The sequence below is a fragment of the Homo sapiens genome, chromosome 8, assembly GCF_000001405.40.
Source record: "Homo sapiens chromosome 8, GRCh38.p14 Primary Assembly".
Classification (NCBI taxonomy): Eukaryota; Metazoa; Chordata; class Mammalia; order Primates; family Hominidae; genus Homo; species Homo sapiens.
The window spans coordinates 24,088,192-24,106,326 of record NC_000008.11 but is presented as its reverse complement, the minus strand read 5'-3'; the positions used below and the strand labels follow the sequence as shown (position 1 = coordinate 24,106,326).

Here is an 18,135-nt window from a genome sequence, read left to right as displayed (position 1 = left end):
TGTTGGTTGACTCCCCTTCCAAACTATGTTCTGGGAAGTCAAGGACCATGTCTGTTTTGCTAGCCACTTGACCTCAGGACTGGCTCATTGTAGGTGCTCAAACACTATTCTAAAGCATCTTCCACTAATGGTCAATTCATTTTAAAAGTATCAAGTTAAACAGACTGCAAGGAACTAGCCCAGGGACAATCTATGGGGCTCTTGCTGGCAAAAGGCCCTTTAAAAATGGCTCTTTTCACCCAGCCTTCCAAGTTCCACAGGTCAAGGACACAGCAGGATTCTTGATGACTTATACAAACTCAGCTCAGGAGAGCCAGACCTCCTTCTTCCCTTGGCTCCACATGCAAATAATATGAACATTTTCTTATTAAAAAGGAAAAGAGCATCTAAGCTATTTTATTCTGAGTATTTGTTCAGTAAGGAGAAGTTTACACAGCTTGTGGAGAATTATTCAGCAGGAAATTAAATCTCTGTAATTCTGAATTTTCACTTTGCTTTTAATTGGCAAAGCTTCCTGGCAAACCACTCTCCCCTCTAGAACATTTGTTAATACCACATCCGCCATCAAAATGTGCTTTCAGAGCCAAATTACAAAACAGGTTAAACAAGATGACTCTCTGGAGGTCTGAGATACTAGGTCCTCGATAGGCTATGAACATACCACCAGGGCATGCAGATATGGGCAGCAATTAAGTTTTGCATAGTAATTTGAAGCTTACAAAGTACTCAAACAAGATAACGGATTAACAAAGAAAAAAATTATCTTACATTATCTATGTAAATATTTCATTTCAGCCACCCAACAATTTTATGAGACTGATCTTGGAACTATATTTACCAAGAAGGCAACTGAGTGGCTTAGAGAGGCTGAAATGACTTGTCCAAGGTCACACAACTAATGCCCCACAGGCAGAACTTGAAATTAAAGCTTTTAACAGATTTTTGTATTATCTCATGCTACTTCTCTTCTGCTGAATCTGAGTATTTTGCCATTTCATTTAGGACAGAGAATTGACTTCACCTAGAAACAAATAGTTACAATAAAAAGTGAATTTGTATTTTCAACAAACAACCAACTTGATCCTTTACTTACTAAGGAAAGCCAGGTTGATTTTATCCTTTTACTTTGCTCCATTTAACAAGGAAGGGGCAATGATTTTTACCTCCACTGGACCAGAAGTCTTTAGAGGATTTTTGTACAGAGAATATGAGAAAATTGGACAGTAACTTACCTTATTTTGCTGTATCTATGGCTCCATGAATTGTTACACTCATCAGTATGTCTATGCATTTAGAAAGAAGAAAAAATATTCTGGCGATTAAACCGGGATAGCCAATGGTAACATGAATCCGAATTTCAAGAATCTTTACATATTTTTAAATGTACATTTAGAATCTATTAAATACACAAGGTAACTCAGATCAGTATGACAGGGAACGTATTGTCTCTCATATATATCTTTAGAAACTCATTCCTTTTTTCTGTTTTTCTGCTAATTTAGACCTCATCATCTTCTTCTGGAACATTAATATGCAAAACCTATTGCTTTTCCTATCTCACTTCTTCTCCCTCCAGTCCATCCTTCGTATTGCCATTAGAAAAACTTTTTAAAAATACAGCTCTGACGGTGACTTCCTCACATTAAAGACTTTCATTGATTTCCTACATCCAGGGTGAAATTCTCACTTCAATTGTCATCCCAGGCACTTTACAACTGGGTCCCAAACTTCCTGTCTCTACTCACCTCATAGTGTATATTTTATCCATAGAGCATACTTTGCTTCTCACTATTCTCCAAGAGTGTGTCCTATCACACCATACATACAGAAGTGAACATTCTGTTTTCTCTCTCAGCAAAGCTATTATTCTCCATCTTTGTTGGTAAACTCTTTTACATCCTTAAAGACCAAGATCAAGTGGAATATCTTTTTTATGAAGCATTCCCCACTCCCAGGCAGCCAGGAGGATTGGAGGGGAGATCCAGCAGCAACTTAGCTCAAATCATTCCTACAGATGTTGAGAGAGAGGCCCAGACAAGCGGAGTGTTTTGCCCAACATTATACAACAAGCTAATGACAATGTTCGGACAAGAATCTATGACTTCTCACCCCAGGTTCACTTTTTCTTGCACTTAAATGAATGTAAATAAAAGAACAGAGTGAAGGTAAAACTCAAGACCATCCCTGGCCATCAGATCTCCACAGTTACTTCCAACAGGTCTACCAGGGACTACCTAGACCACAAGGAGGCAAACTGATGTTCTGACAAGGCAGTCACAGTTGGATTCAGACCTCTGTGCCGTTGGGTTACTTCACCCCCCAGAATAATAATCCCCGCCTCATAAAACATTGTGAGGATGAAATGAAATTTGTGTATTTCAATGCCTATCACTGTGCCTAGCATAAATAAAACTCAATAAATGTCACCTCCTTTACCCACTTCATACTAGATTAGGTCAAAATATGGCTGTTTCAAGGTTAAACTCATTGTCAAACCACCAATGTGGTCAAGCAGCATTTTATTTAATACATTTGTAAAAACACACAGCTTTGGTGTAAGTTCGGCAGTGAGGATAATACCACGCTGTTTATATAACACACACATGTGTTCACTTTGAGAATGGGGTGAATGGCATTACCACCAAAGTCATAGCATTTGGGTATTGACCCCCAGCAGGAAAATGGATCAATTAGGCAAGCAGAAGGAAGCAAACAAGTCTACAACTATAAATGTCAGCACACACACACCCAGAATTAGGGAGTGAGATCAAAGGCAGATTGTAGCTACCCAGGAGAGACACCAAGAAGATTCGCATTGGAGCAGCAAGATCCAGGCACCCAGAAGACCTTTTCAGAACTTCCAACCATATCTGGAGAGAAATCAAAGGCTGAATCCTTGGCTATTGCATTTCAAAATAAATAAAGACTCCTCTACTTCCTTCACAAAATATCAGCCAAGCTAAATTTATGCTCTAGAATATTACCCTGGGAGCTGTCCCTGGAAGAAATCATTTTAACCCTAATACTGCTCTTTGTTTTGAATCCAAGTCTTCTGCCTTTGCCCACACAGCCATTAGCAGACAAATTAGAAAAGCATCCAATCAAAAAATATTTACTGAGCAAAAGGGTGTAAAGTGCTGTACTAGAGGAAGTGCCAGTACCGAGATATTATTGAAACATCTCCCTTCGAGTATTCTAAACTTACTTTGTTACTAGTCCCTTCTGTAGGGTTAAGCATTTCCTTTTTCTGGAGGTCATCCTTTAAGTGTCAAAACCCTTGATGTGAGGATAACATGTTAGATTGACAACACCTTTCCAGAGAGGCAGGACTACTGACATCTGAGAGCATTCGACTGGGAAGAGGCCTTGAAATGTACTGAGAAACAAAGGTAGAAAGAGAACCAAGAAATCAGACTTACTCCTTCATTGTAGTTAAATATTGTGTGATATGGAGCTAAATTTGCAATAGACTTACTACGTGCTACCTTCTATTAACCAGCTGTGGCTTTCTGAAGCTTTGTGCTAAGGATTCTAAGCCCCTTTCTGGACGTCGGCTGACAGATGAGGGGCAGCATACATCATGTGTATTTTCTAACCTTTCTACAGGGGAAGAGTCCAGCATTTGGAGTCAGAATCTGGGCTCTGCCACTTGCAAGTTGCAAGTTCTATCGTGCTATGAGCATCACTGCACCTCAATGACATTTGGTTTTCTCATCTACAAAACAAATGACAATAAAATTATTATAATTGGGTATAGTACAGTGGCGACAAATTTAGCATCTAGCTAAATTAAGTAGAAATAATTTACTATCAGGTATTAAGTGGCTTACAAGAAATCACAGGAAGGTTAGGAGAGTCGGTTCTAACCTGACTCCCTGAAACACTTCCCAGTCCCCAGTATCACACTGTCTCTACCATGACAGCAGGAGAGCTGTCACCATCAGTGTGAGAAGGTACTAGATAAGGAAGGCTCCGACTGAAAAATCACACTGTCTGTGCCACAGTCCCCCTCAGCAAATGAATGTCTGCCTGTTCTGTCCCCTACTTCACTCAGTTCTAAATGAAAACCTCCGTGGAGTACCTCTGATCACTAAAACCAAAATCACACACAGCTCTTCACCTGCAAGGGAGCGTGAAACCCTAAGACTTTGGACATCAGAATGTCTAGTTAAGAGAGCACTGCAGATGATGCCCTCCAGGTGGGTGGCACAGATGCTCCTGTGGGACTGAGTCACTCATTCCTCCTGCAGCTGACATTATTGGCGGCCGACCTCTCTAGGCTGAGTCTTTCTCAGGATGTTCCCTTCAGTTGGAGAAACTTAACTTATCTAGGATGAGGCCCAGTCCCGGGGACACACTGCATCTAATTGCTGGTCTGCAGGAGGGTATGAAGGACAGGAAGGACCCTTTGGCTCAAGGCATGATCATTCCAGCAACAGAGGCCCTCATAGAATGGACTGAATAATCCTGCGTTATGACTGCCTCATAGGTTAACTCTTTTCTCTGCACAATCTTATGTCTTTTATTCCCCCACAGCTGCTATGATGGCCACTCTCCAATATAAACTTCCCCTATGCAATTATTCACCTCAGAGTCAGTTTGCTGAGGGGCCCGACCTGAGGCAGACACATTGGATGTAGGTGGAAAAGAGGCTGAAGAAGCCAGTTCTCAACACTCACAAATTCTACGAGTCCTCAGTCCTGTAATTCATGTGAAAATAGCCCTGGGAGCTGTCACAGAGCCTGGCACAGGGTTAACCAACACATATTTGCTTTAAAATATTATGATAACGCTAACATTTGTTGAACACTTCCTGTGTATGTAGATATTGATCTAAGTTCTTTGTATAAACTCATTTAATCTTTATAAGAAGCCTATGGAGTAGATACTACCTTATCCACTCTACAAGTGAGAAAAATAAGGCACAAAGTGGTTATTTTTAAAGTTAAACAGACTAAGTGGCAGAGCTAGGATTTTAACCCACGTAGTCTAATACTAAGGCTTGTATTCTTACCTGCTTTTCTGCTGCAATATTAATTTTGCAGCCAATAAAATCTCTCACGTACCAAAAAAAGCCCTGCTTTGACATTTTAAAATGTGATGGGATTAAGACAAAGGGATTAAAGGATTTTTACTGAGGTCTGTAGTGGGCTGAATAATGGCTGCTTAAACTGCCCAGATCCTAATCCCCAGAATATGTGAATATGTTATCTTATAAAGCAAACGGGACTTTACAGATGTGATTAAATTAAGGGTGTTGAGATGGAGAAATTATCTGTAATTAGCCAAGTGGGCCTGAAATGTAATCACAAGAGTGCTTCCAAGAGAAGTAGAGGGAGATACTATGAGGAGAAGAGAGAAGAGGATAAGGCAGGGTGATGACAGAAGCCAAGATTGGAGTGATGCAGCCACCAGAAGCTGGGAAAGACCCCCCAACACACACCTGCAAAGAGGAGAAAAAGACTTTCCCCTTAGAGCCTCCAGAGAGAACCAACATTGATGGCACCCTGGTTTTCACCCTGTAAGATTCATTCCGACTTCTGGTCTCAAGAACTGTAAGAAAATAAATATATTTGTGAAGCCAGTAAATTGTGATAATTTCTTTCAATAACAACAAAAAGCTAATATGGGTTCATAAAAATTATAGCATTTGCAGTACTGTCTGGAAGCATCTTTTGGAGAGCTAGATTGGATCCACCTAGCTATTGCAGGTTAACAGGAACGGTCCAATGAACTCTGAAAATATTGACAATGGACTTGATCTAACTACCACCTTCTACTAAGGACAGTGGTTAGGCGGGGCATGAGACTCAGAAATGTAATAAATGTGTAGTTGGTAATTAGTATTGATAGGTGTTGTTTCTTCTCCCAAAACTTAATTTCTGAGAGTTAAGAATTATACATAAGGCAGGTCACCTACTCAACAATGCATAACAAGAGTCATACTTAAATTTCAGGATAGCTTTTTCTGCATTCCACCTAAGAAGTGGCCTTATACATCAAAATGAGAGCAAGAATTGAGGCCCACTTGGATCCAAGCACATGTAGACAAGACCAGCTCCCAGACGCTAATAATCTTTTGGAGGGCGGGAGAAAGGAAAGGAAGCTCCCATCCAAACACCGTTGGACTCTTCAAGAACAAAATAAATGTTTCCTAAATTCAGAGAGCCTCATTCCATCTCAGGTTTCTTAGTCCTTAAGCCAGCCTCCTTGAATTTTTTTTTCTTGGAACAATGTAAATACACACACACGCGCGCGCACGCGTGCAAAATACAATGCATAGCTCTCCTTATCTTCACTGTTTAGTTATAACTACAAACAGGCTTGGCGACAGCTATGGTTTGACTCAGAGAGAGAAAAATGGTCAATCTCTGAGCAATCATAAATCACCGTCTCAAGGAAAACTGTAAACAAAGAGGTGTTTTCACAAATGAAGTGATCTAGATCAGGGCTTCTCAACCTACTCCTGGTGAAAGAACAAGTTTACTTAAAATTCCCAGTCCATCATGGTCCAACACCCTTGTAAAATGCAATCAACATGAATTACTAGAAAAATGAAATTGAAAGAAAAGATACACAAAATGCAAGCCCAATGTATTTCACTTCTTAGATTTAAGGAACATAAAATTACTCTTTTAAAATGTTATTCAAAGTTTCTGAAAGCTTTTAATTTCTGTATGGATTTTGTCACCAACTGGTAACAAGCATTTAAAGATGGCACCAACCCGCAGAACACACTTTGAGTAGCACCGGTCTACATGAACAGGCTCTAGGTATAAAATTTAAGTAAAGTTACTGCTAGATTCAGTGTGCAAGATGCCATTCTCTAATGTCAGTTATACCTCTAGGTAACTCAAGTGTTTCTCTTACGTACTAATTCTGCTAGCTCTGAAGCATCTCTATAATCTTGCACACAGTATTTTTTTATTATAATGGAAACATTTCCATATACCCTACCATCAGGATATTTACTGTTAACACAATTTAAAATGTTCATTGGTTTCATTATTGACTTCAGAGCATCTTGAACTCCTTGGAATATAGGAAGCTAGACTGTGGAATGTTAATGCTGATTGAAAAAGTCTGCAATTTTAGGCCAATGGGGCAAGTTTGTGAAAAGCTGGTGGAATTTAATTTCTAGAAGACATCTGCACCAATACAATTTCATTCTCCAATTATTTCACAAAATATTCTGTAAGGAAATCTGCCTGAAGGTCACATGCATGCTTTCTTGAAAGGCATATTTCCAGGGGCTCCACCTCAGCACCACTGATTCCGAATCTTTGTTAGTGAAACCTAAAAATTCACATTTCTATTAAGCAATGCATCAAAATTTTTGACACACAAAATATTAAAATAAGTGTACTTGTTTAAATAAATGTACATTTGTATCACAAAGTTACTTTTACCTTCTAATACAATGCAATGAAACAAATTCTTAATTTCATTTTTACATTCCTTTCAAGTTTCATAACTATATCATATTAGGATTGGTGTGTACTTAGATCAAATGTTTTTACATCTCATCTTCTTTCAATTAAGGTAGCTTGCAATATTTTGAAAGTAAATACTTTTGGTTTTTGTAGTCTTCGTTACAGAAATTGTTTGGCAAGAAAATCGTGGAATACACAGGGGGAAGAAGTGTAATGACCGGGGTTAAGGAAAATGACACATGTCCTAGAATAGCTAGAAATCATTTGGGATTCATTTAGTTCTGGCTTAGTGGGATAACTGATTAAATGAACCTAAAAACTAACTTATCAGCACCAAGTATCTGCAGAGTAGCTGATTCTGAAAATTTACTTTGACAGTAGTGTAAATCACGGTACAATTTTACCCTGCCTTTCTGAAATCCCTTGATACAAAATGACATACCTTGATGTTGACATCCAAAACTCTCAGTTTACTTGCCTCCATTGGGAAATACCATGTTTTGTTTTGCTTTGATTTTTTACCTTTTCTTGCTTCAAAACAAAATGGTTATACAAGAATTGTATCTTTGTGACCAAGATAGCTCATTTTTAGGGAAGAAGCAGGGCTGAGAGGATAACTAAAGCATCCCTTTTTGCATGACTGTATGCATCAGATATTTTATATTATTTTTTCTTTTAACTTTCACAGTTCTTCAAAGAGGATATTAGAATTCCTATTCTATAAACGAGGAAATGAAAGTCATCGAGGGTAAGGAATAAACCAGAAATCCCACAGTAAGTGACAGAGTCAGAATTGAATCCAGCTCTGCCTTACCCCAAAGCCTGTACTGGGTGGATTACAGAGTGGGGGCCTCCTAACCAAGGTAGGCTTGTACATACACCTTTTCCTCAGTAGTGTTTTTTCATACCTAGATACTGGAGTCTACTATTTACTATATATGGTCTATCCAGAATTATACTGCCTAGATTGAAAGAGCTTAGGTGCTCATTTAACCCACAAGGGGTGAGTTACCAGGAAAATCAATATACTGAATGTGTTCAAGAGATCAGCCAACCACTTGTTTCAGGCTTCAGAGAGCCCTAAAAGCATATCTGACACTCAGCTACTTAGCTTGATTCCACAATGATAATTTCCTATAGTCCCCACTCATTGAAAGAACTCTGATAGAAAGAAGGCTCTTTAAGTCAATAAGATTGAATTTCTGAAGTTCCCTCAGTTAAATCCTCTATTTCATCAAGTCAGATAAATCCTGAGTTATAGGAGGTCAATGGCAACACCCCAAATCATAGAGCACTACAGGGAGGCAAAGAGGAGGTCGCCTAATAACCAATCAAATACTGAAGGAGACAAAATGAGTCTATACCACGGTTACCAAATCCATTCAAAAGGTCATTCTCAGATATGCAAAACCTAAACTGTCCTTCAAGTTTACTCTCCTTGGAAGTCTTACACTGGCTACTGTACAAGGATATGCCCCTTGTCACTCAGGGAGCCAAGCAACACAAATGGAAATAAACCAGCACAATTCAAGATCTTAGACAAGACCTTGGCAATAAATACCTCTTTAGCCTATAAGTAGTCCTAAATATTTCATTACCAAATATCTCTTTTCTTGTTTTCCCCAACAGAACTCAAAAGCCTACCAATTTGTGTTTAATACATCATTTTTCAATTTCTTTTGAATAAGGAATGACAGCCAATCAACGTTTCGGAGCGGAACTAAATAAGTATATTTAGTTGGATATAGCTTCAACCAGAAGCAAAGATCCATTGTTATAGATAACCTTTGTACAGGAGAAGAAACGTTTTTCAATGGGGCTGTTTGGAATAGTGGTGTGTATATCCCACCTCACTTCCCTACTCCCATCCCCGGTCACTATTACCTGCTTCAAGTATGTAGACTTAACATGGTACAAGACAAGAATGCTTATGTCTCCTATCATCTTTCCTTTAGTTTCTTGTACAGCAAGCAGGAAGCCCAGACAAAGCCCATCTTATGCTCAATGCTATAGTTGCCCTCAATTTGCAAATTTTATGTTGTTATTATTGTTTTTCAATGAGTTTTGGAGGGCTTTTTTTCCCCCTCTTTTTAGAAAAGTAACAAGTTAAATGCAATATAGTATCCTGGCTTAAATCCTGGAACAGAACTAGTTAAAACCTGGTGAAATTCAAATAAAGTAACCAGTTTAGTTAATAGTAGTGTATAAATTTCAATATCTTATTTTTAACAATTGCACTGTAATTACAAAATATGTTAACATTAGGAAAAGCTGGGTGAAGAGTATACAGGCATTCTGCTCTCTTTGCAACTTTTCTATACCTAAATTATTCCAAAATTTTTATTTTTAAACAACTATTACATATTATAGAAGATTTAGAAAGTACAGATTAACAGAATTGTGAGGAAGAACTCAAAGATGACTTAGCAAATTTTGTCACTTTCAGATTTTTTCTCTATAAAGTTATCTTTAATTTAATTCATGCTATACATATTATCTTCTATTTTAAGAGTAAGTAGTGAGTATATTTGTAAGTCTAATATTGATTTAGAACATTTATGTTCCCAATATTCAATATTAACTGTTTTCTATAAAATGTCTATATTGTATTACCTGTATCATAAATTTTTATAATACTCAAAAATTATAGAATTTTATGTTGTTATTTTTATTTTTTAATGCTACGAAATATACACCAGGAGCAAAATTAGTGTTCACTGCCATAATTATTTTAATAAAAATTATCATAAAGTTATCATTTGGGTTAATGGGTATACACATTTTGAAAAGGAGTATATGAGAATACCCATTTTGTTATAACCTTGCTTAGATCAAATATCATAATTTTAATATAATTTTAAAATACCATCTAATTCAATAGGCAAAAAGTAGTATATCATACTTTAACTTGAATTTCTTAATATACTGCAATTGGACATATCACAGTATGTTTACTGCCCATTTGTATTTCTTCCTCTGAATTTTCCTCTAAATTTTCTGACAACCATTTCACATTGCGCTATTAGGTGTTCAAACAGTAGTTTGAACACCTAATAGTGCAATGTGAAATGGTTGTCAGAAAATTCAGAGGTAGAAATATAAATGGAATATATATATATATATTCCAAATTTAAGAATTTTTTTGTATTTCTGAGAGACAAATTCAAATACATATGAGACACATACATGTCTAACATATATAAGACAAATATTTCCCATGGGGTCTTATTTGCTTTTTATTTATGTATTTGAGACAGAGTCTTACTCTGTCTCCCAGGCTAGAGGTTCAGTGGCACAATCTCAGCTCACTGCAACCTCCACCTCCCAAGTTCAAGGTATTCTTGTGCCTCAGCCTCCCAAGTAGCTGGGATTACAGGCTCACACTGCCAGACCCAGCTAAGTTTTGTATTTTTGGTAGAGATGGGATTTCTTTATGTTGGCCAGGCTGGTCTCAAACTCCTGGCCTCAAGTGATCCTCCTGCCTCGGCCTCCCAATGTGCTGGGATTAAAGGTGTGAGACACCTCACTCAGCCTATTTATGGTTATTTTTTAAATGTGTAAGTTGCTTTTGTAAAGCAAATTTATTTTCTCCTTTATGCTTTCTGGCTGTGTCACACTTAAAAAATTTTACTCCCTGCCCTCAAGAAATCCTTACCCATATCAAAATTATTTTTACTCACATACATGCATACTCACATTTTTGGAGATTGTTTTAACATATATGTCTTTAATTCTTCTGTCTAGAATGTATGCAAATGTATAAGAGATAGAGTTATCCCAAAAAGTATGAAATAATCATTAATTTGAAATATTCCTTTTTTGAAACAGTAAATTCTTAAATATACTAACGTGTGTTTCCCAACTTTCTATTGTATCTACACTGCCATTTCTGTTGAAAAAACTATGTGGGTTGATTAAAAAAAAAAAAAAGTTAATACCTCCTACCACTACTTTCCCTATTTCATTCTTCTTTATCAAACTCTAAGTCCCTATTTTCACATTTTTAAGCTTCTAGATGAGTATTGGAAACATTTTATCATGTTTCAACAACATCTTATGGCATTTTGATGAGAATTGAATTATATGAATGTATTAATAAGAACAGAATGGACATTTTTACAATTTGAATTGTAAGACGATGCTATGAAGCTCTATTTTCAAATTTTTATCAATGCCTTCAGCAAAGTTACATATTTTTCTTTATATGATGCCTAACAAATTTTATTTACTTATTTTTATGGTGGTAAGAGCACATAACATTATATCCATCTTATTACTTTTTTAAATACACAATACAGGATGGGTGTGGTGATTCATGCCTGTAATCCCAGCACTTTGGATGGCAGAAGCAGGCAGATCACTTGAGGTTAGGAGTTTGAGACCAGCCTAGCCAACATGGTGAAACCGTATCTCTACTAAAAATACAAAAATTAGCCAGGTCTGTTGACACACAAATGTAATCCCAGCTACTCAGGAGGCTAAGGCAGGAGAACCTCTTCAACCCCAGAAGCAGAGGTTGCAGTGAGCAGAGATTGCACCAATGCACTCCAGCCTGGGTGACAAAGTGAGGCTCTGTCTCAAAAAAAAAAAAAAAAAAAAAAAAGAAAGAAAAAAAGGAATAAAAAATACAAGTAAAATATACAATACACAATACAGTATTGTTAACCTTAGGCACAATGTTGTACAGCAGATCTCTAGAGCTTATTCACTTTGTTTAACTGAAACCTTGTGTTCATTTACTGGTAGCTCCCCACTTCCCCTTCCCTACTATCCCCTGGGAAGAGCAATTCCACTCTTCAATTCTATGAATTTCACTACTTTTGATATCTCACATAAGGGGAATCATGCAGTATTTGTCTTTAAGTGATTAGCACATTTCACTTAGCATAATGTCCTCAAGGGTCATTCATGTTGTTGCATATTGCAGAAGTTTCTTATTTTTGAAGGCAGAACTTTTAGTTTGATGGAGTCCTACTTATTTTTGTTTTGTTGCCTGCCTGTGCTTTTGGCATCCAAAAAAAAATTGTTGCCAAGACCAATGTCATGAAGTTTTTTCCCCTATGTTTTTGTCTAGGAATTTTACAGTTTCAGGTCTTAAGTTTAAGTCTTTAACCTATATTGTGTTGACTTTGTGTGTGTATCATAAGAGAAGGGTCTAATTTCACACCTTTGCATGTGTTTATCTAGTTTTCCCAATATCATTTGTTGAAAAGACTATCCTTTCCCCATGGTGTATTTTTACCACTCTGACAAAGCTCAGTTGATTGCAGATGTGTGGGTTCATTTCTGGTTCTTTCTTCTGTCCCATTGGCCTATATGTCTATTTTTATGCCAGTACCATACTGTTTTAATTACTCTAGCTTTGTAATATATTTTCAAATCAGGAAGTGTTTTGCCTGCAGGTTTCTTCTTTTGTCTCAAGATTGGTTTGATTATTTGGGGGTCTCTTGAGGTTCCAGATGAGTTTTAATATTTTTCTTCTTTTCTATAAAAAATACAATTGGGATTTTGATAGAGATTGCATTGAATTTGTAGATTACTATGGATAGTAGACATTTTAACATTATTAAATCTTTCAATCCATAAACACAAGATATTTTTCCATTTACTTGTGTCTTCTTTAATTTCTTTCAACAATGTTTTATAGTTTTCAGTGTTTAAGTCTTCCTCCTTGTTAAGTTTTGTTCCAATATATTTTATTTTTAATACTATTATAAGTTAGATTGTTTTCTAAATTTCCTTTTTAGATAGCATATTGTTAGTCTATAGAAATGTAACTGACTTTTGTATGTTGGGATTTTATATCCTACAACTTCATTTATTTATTAGATCTAACATTTTTGTATGTGTGGAGTTTTGGGGTTTTCTACATGTCAGATCATGTCATCTGCAAACAGAGATAATTTTACTTCTTCTTAACAGATTTGGACACTTTTTCTTTTTCTTGTCTAATCGCTCCTAATTGAATTAATTAGGAGATTGAATCAGTAACCAAAAATCTCCCATCAAAGAAAAGCCAAGGATGAGATGGTTTCACTGGCAAATTCTGCTAAGACTTTAAAGAATTAACACCAATGCTTCTTAAACTCTTCCAAAACATTGAAGAGGAGAAAACACTTCCAAACCGATTTTCTGATGCTGGCATTACCCTGATACCAAAGGCAAATAAAGATCCTACAGGAAGAAAAAAAAAAAAAAAAAAAAAAAGAAAGAAAGAAAGAAAAAAAACCCACTGGCCAATATCCCTAAGAAACATAGCTGCAAAAACCCTCAACACAATGCTAAGCAAACCAAATTCAACAGTGCACTAAGAGGACCATTCGCCATGACCAAGTGGAATTTTTCCCTGGGATGCAAAGATGGTTCAACCTATGCAAATTCATTAATGCGAGAGATCTACAATTAACACAATGAAGGATAAAAATCACATTATCCCTCAATAGATGCAGAAAAAGCACTTGACAAAATTTAACACACTTTCATGATAAAATATCTCAACATACCAGTCATTGAAGGAATTTACCTCAACAGAGTAAAGACTGTAAGAAAAACTCACAGCTAACATGATCTCAATGGTTAAAAAACAAAAAACAAAAAAACTTAAAGGTTTTGCTCCAAAATAAGGAACAAGGCAAGGATGACCACTCTTGCCACTTTTATTTGACATAGTGATAGAAGTCCTATGCCAATTTAAAACTTTTCTTCTTGCTATGAATTGGATTTTGTCCATTATTCTCATGCTTATCTCTATTCTTGACTTCATACAATCTTCTCTTAACACAGCAGCAAGTGTAGGTGATCCTTTTTGAAACAAAGTCAAATTATGTTACTTGCAGTAGCCATCCTCAACCCTTACTGCACATTAGAATCACCAGGGGAGTATAAAAATCCCAATGCCCAAGCCTCACTCCACACCAATTAAACTAGAATTTCTGGGTGTGGGGCTAAGGCATCAGTATTTTTAAAAGACCACAGCCCCCCCATTCTTCCAACCACTATCATGGGCAGCCAACCACTGTCCCAAAGTAAAATCCGAAGTTTTTCAATGGATGATGCTCCTTAAAATTTAATGTCTGAGAATCGCCTGAGGACCTTGTTAAAATGCAGGTTGTGATTGTAGAGGTCGAGATGAGACCTAAGATTCTGCATTACTACCATGTTTGCAGAGGATGCTGATGCTGCAGGGTCTCAGGATCACACTTGAGTGGCACAGGGCCCCTGTGTTGTAGCTCCCCTGTATTTGTCTTACTTCACTAGTGCCCTCTCCCTTGCTCACTCCACTTCACCAGCCTCTTGCCATTCCACAAGCCGGCCAGCCAGCCACACACACATCCTTCTCCATCTTCAGCATCTGCCTTAGTCACTCCCCTTACAAAAAATGTCCTTTCGCCAGCTGCTACTGGTTTCCAAACTCCACTGAACAGGTAAATGGATCCCAGGCCCTTTTCACCGTTCACTCTAAGTCATCTGTACACCAGTTAATGTTGTCGCTTACTATGCAAAATTGACTGCATATTCACTAGTGAAGTTCTTCTGTATTTCCCTTTATCTATCCTACCTCTGCCAAAATATATTACCTGTAGTATAATGATTTGGTAAAATAAACATTAAATATTACAGGTATTGTGTCTTATTATTTTGGAAAATAAAAATATCAAATTTTCTGGACCCAACACCCCCTTCTGGAACACTTTCCAATTCTTCCCTAAGTTAAAGCTCTTTCCCTTGTCTGCTTGTGTAATAGCTTGAGTTCCTGCTCAGATGGACAGTTGAAGGGAAGGTTGACTGGCAAAGCTGCCAAGCCAGTCAGTCCTCTGTGTCTAGCCTGTCACTGGGATTTTTACAAATTAGAGCTGGGGTGCCTCACCACTCTGTCCTTAGATCCCATGTTGTTGTTGTTGTTTGTTTTTGGTTTTTGGTTTTTTGAGACAGGGTCTCTCTCTATTGCCCAGGCTGGAGTGCAGTGGTGTGATCTCAGCTCACTGCAACCTCCACTTCCTGGGTTCAAGCAATTCTCTTGCCTCAGCCAGTTGAGTAGCTGGGACTACAGGCACCCACCACCATGCCTGGCTCAGTTTTTGTATTTTAGTAGAGACTGGGTTTCACCATGTTGTCCTGGGTGGTCTCAAACTCCTGAGCTCAGGCATTCCGTGCACCTCTACCTCCCAAAGTGCTAGGATTACAGGAGTGAACCTCTACGCCCGGCCAGATCCCATGTTCTGTGACCTATTTTCTATCTAATATTTCATGGCTTTAATACTTGAGGTGGAAAAAAAAGAGAAAAAAAAGGAAATACTGAGATTTACTAAGAGTTTCACACCCTACTAAGGCATTGTCCTGTTAGTACATTTTCTTAATATAAAGTGCAAAAATATGTATCTTGAAAGCCTTTTATGTTTTAAACAGTAGTTCTAGGAAAACAAAGAATCAGAAGAGGTTATACAATTTCTTTTCAGTTAAATTGTACATTTTAGGTAAAATTACTAAAGATCTTATTTGTGAATTTTAAGTAAGTACCTGTAGTTGCTGTTTAACCTTGAGCACAGAAAAAGCAACTGTGACTTGAGTCCAATCAGCAAAGTTAAAATCACAAATAGGTTGATTTAATCTTGACGGCTGCTCACTTCTCTTATTTGGCTGAGACATCAGGTTCTCCTCACCCACACATCTAGGCTGTGAGCAGCAAAACCTCAGAGATTGGTTTTGTGTAAGCTGAACCACAGTGATTCTCCCGAAAGCCCATACCAAGGAAGAATTTAGAAATTCTCTTTTCTTCTCTCAAGATCCACATTGTCCACACAGCCTCCAGCTCTCTCCCCTGTCTGGCAAGCAAAGCATTTTCTATCTCCACAAAAAATCTGTAAACATTAACTCATCTGTATGGATAACTTCCCTTGCATGTTGTTTTATTTTAACCAGGAAAAAAGTAAAACCACAATTTAAACCAGTAGCAGCAGCCCAAAATTAATGAATAGCTAAAAAAGAAAAAAAAATTCGGGTATGAGAAAACCCGCAATGACAAATGACCCCACACAGAGTGGGGAAGAAGGGAAAAGGATGTCATAAGGAATAACACGAACAAAGGGAAGAACTATTTTTAAAGGAAGCTTATGAAACACCTTATAATTTACTTCAATTGCTAATTGCTTCTAAACATAGAGAAGAAATCAATAGGAGATCCATGGCATTTTGGGCAGGAAATTGTGGGAAATTAAGTCCAGTGAAGGTAGACATGTCCCATCCTTAATGTAGGAAATAGCTATAGACATGGATTCACATTAGATCATATGACTTCCATCATAATAGGACATCATAGCCAAATAAAAGCAATTATTCTGGTCCATTGGGTTTTTGGAGGATAGGTATACATGACAGATGTTGCAGAAACCTGTGGCTTAGGGAAAAAATACAAAGCAGTAAAGAGAACATTTATGCATACTGGTAGTAAGAAACATCAGTTCGGATTTGTAACTCCCTCAACAACATGCTAAGAGAATTACTCAGCCTTTTTCAATTCCACAAAACCTTCTGGAAAGTTGTCAAGCCTTAATGTTAACTTTCTTTGATAGCACATAAATATGTTAGGTTGCATCTTCTGAAATTGTTTTTGAATTTCAAGTCGTTTCTATCTTTGAATGAGAATTCTGTAAGATTCAACCTGGTAAACTGAGAAAGACGGGATGAAAGGCTGGGACAAAGTATGATTTTTTTAAGTCATTATCTCTCATCCCCACCCGCAGAGAACTATGTACTACACCAAAGCTGTCTGGGTTGGGTCAACTCCCTTCTCCCTTCTGCAAAAATCAAAACCCAACCAACTGGTAGGAAGTTCATTATCGCAAGTAGCAATTTGTTAGCATAGAAACTACACCAGTATCACAATTATGTAAATAGAGTCAGTCCTGGGCAAAACTGTGTTAACAGGAAAGGAAAATTTTACCTGTGATCATGGTAACAGAGGAATTGGTTAGACCTGGGTTGAATCCTGTTTCAAAACTATTGTCGTCCTACTATCTTGATATCCTGGAGAATCTTTCTGATGCTCCATTTCTTCCTTAATAAAAATTAATGTTTTTATATCTACATGGTAGGATTATGAAGATTAAAATAAAAAATGTATACTAAGATGCTATGGTGAGTTAGACACATCCTAAGTCTGCCTTAAATGTCTGTGTTTTGTATTTTTTCACCCCACTCCAGTGCCTGTCTACCCCATCTTGTTAGCATGGCCTAGAGAAAAGCATGTGTTCTCCAACATCTTTCATCTATTAGTCCTGGCTGTTTATTACATGCCATGTAAGGATCTAATCAACAAAGTCTAACCCATTTCTAGTGATTAATAGGCATAATTGTCTTCTAGAAAGATCTGCATTTTAACAAACAAAAATTCCTCGTTCCAAAATAGGGAGGCCTACTGGTTCAGTTCCAAGCATTTGTTAAATTCTAAGATCTGGAGGCTAGAATTAACCTTTTAAAACATGGGTCACCAAACTTTTCTATAAATGGCCAGAGAGTAAATAATTTAGGCTATAGAGTCCATGTGGTCTTTGGTGCAACTGTTCTGTTTTGCCATTGTAGCCGAACAGAACTCAGACACAATGTGTAAATGAATGAGCATGGCTGTGTTCCAATAAACTTTATGAACTCTGAATTTAAATTTCATATAATTTTATGTGTCACAAAATATAATTCTTTTTTAACT

General features: G+C 37.2%; 2 long non-coding RNA genes across 2 annotated transcripts in view; both read right to left on the bottom strand.

The window, feature by feature from the left end:
* The window catches only part of LOC107986931 (uncharacterized), a 290,196-nt gene that overhangs the window by 101,202 nt on the left and 170,859 nt on the right, over positions 1 to 18,135 (bottom strand). The window lies entirely within an intron of this gene.
* LOC105379328 (uncharacterized) lies at positions 23 to 16,338 on the bottom strand. The gene is made up of 3 exons (XR_949589.2): positions 15,951 to 16,338; positions 5,444 to 5,553; positions 23 to 1,283 (listed from the first exon to the last, which is right to left on the bottom strand). It is a non-coding gene; the product is annotated as an uncharacterized LOC105379328 (long non-coding RNA).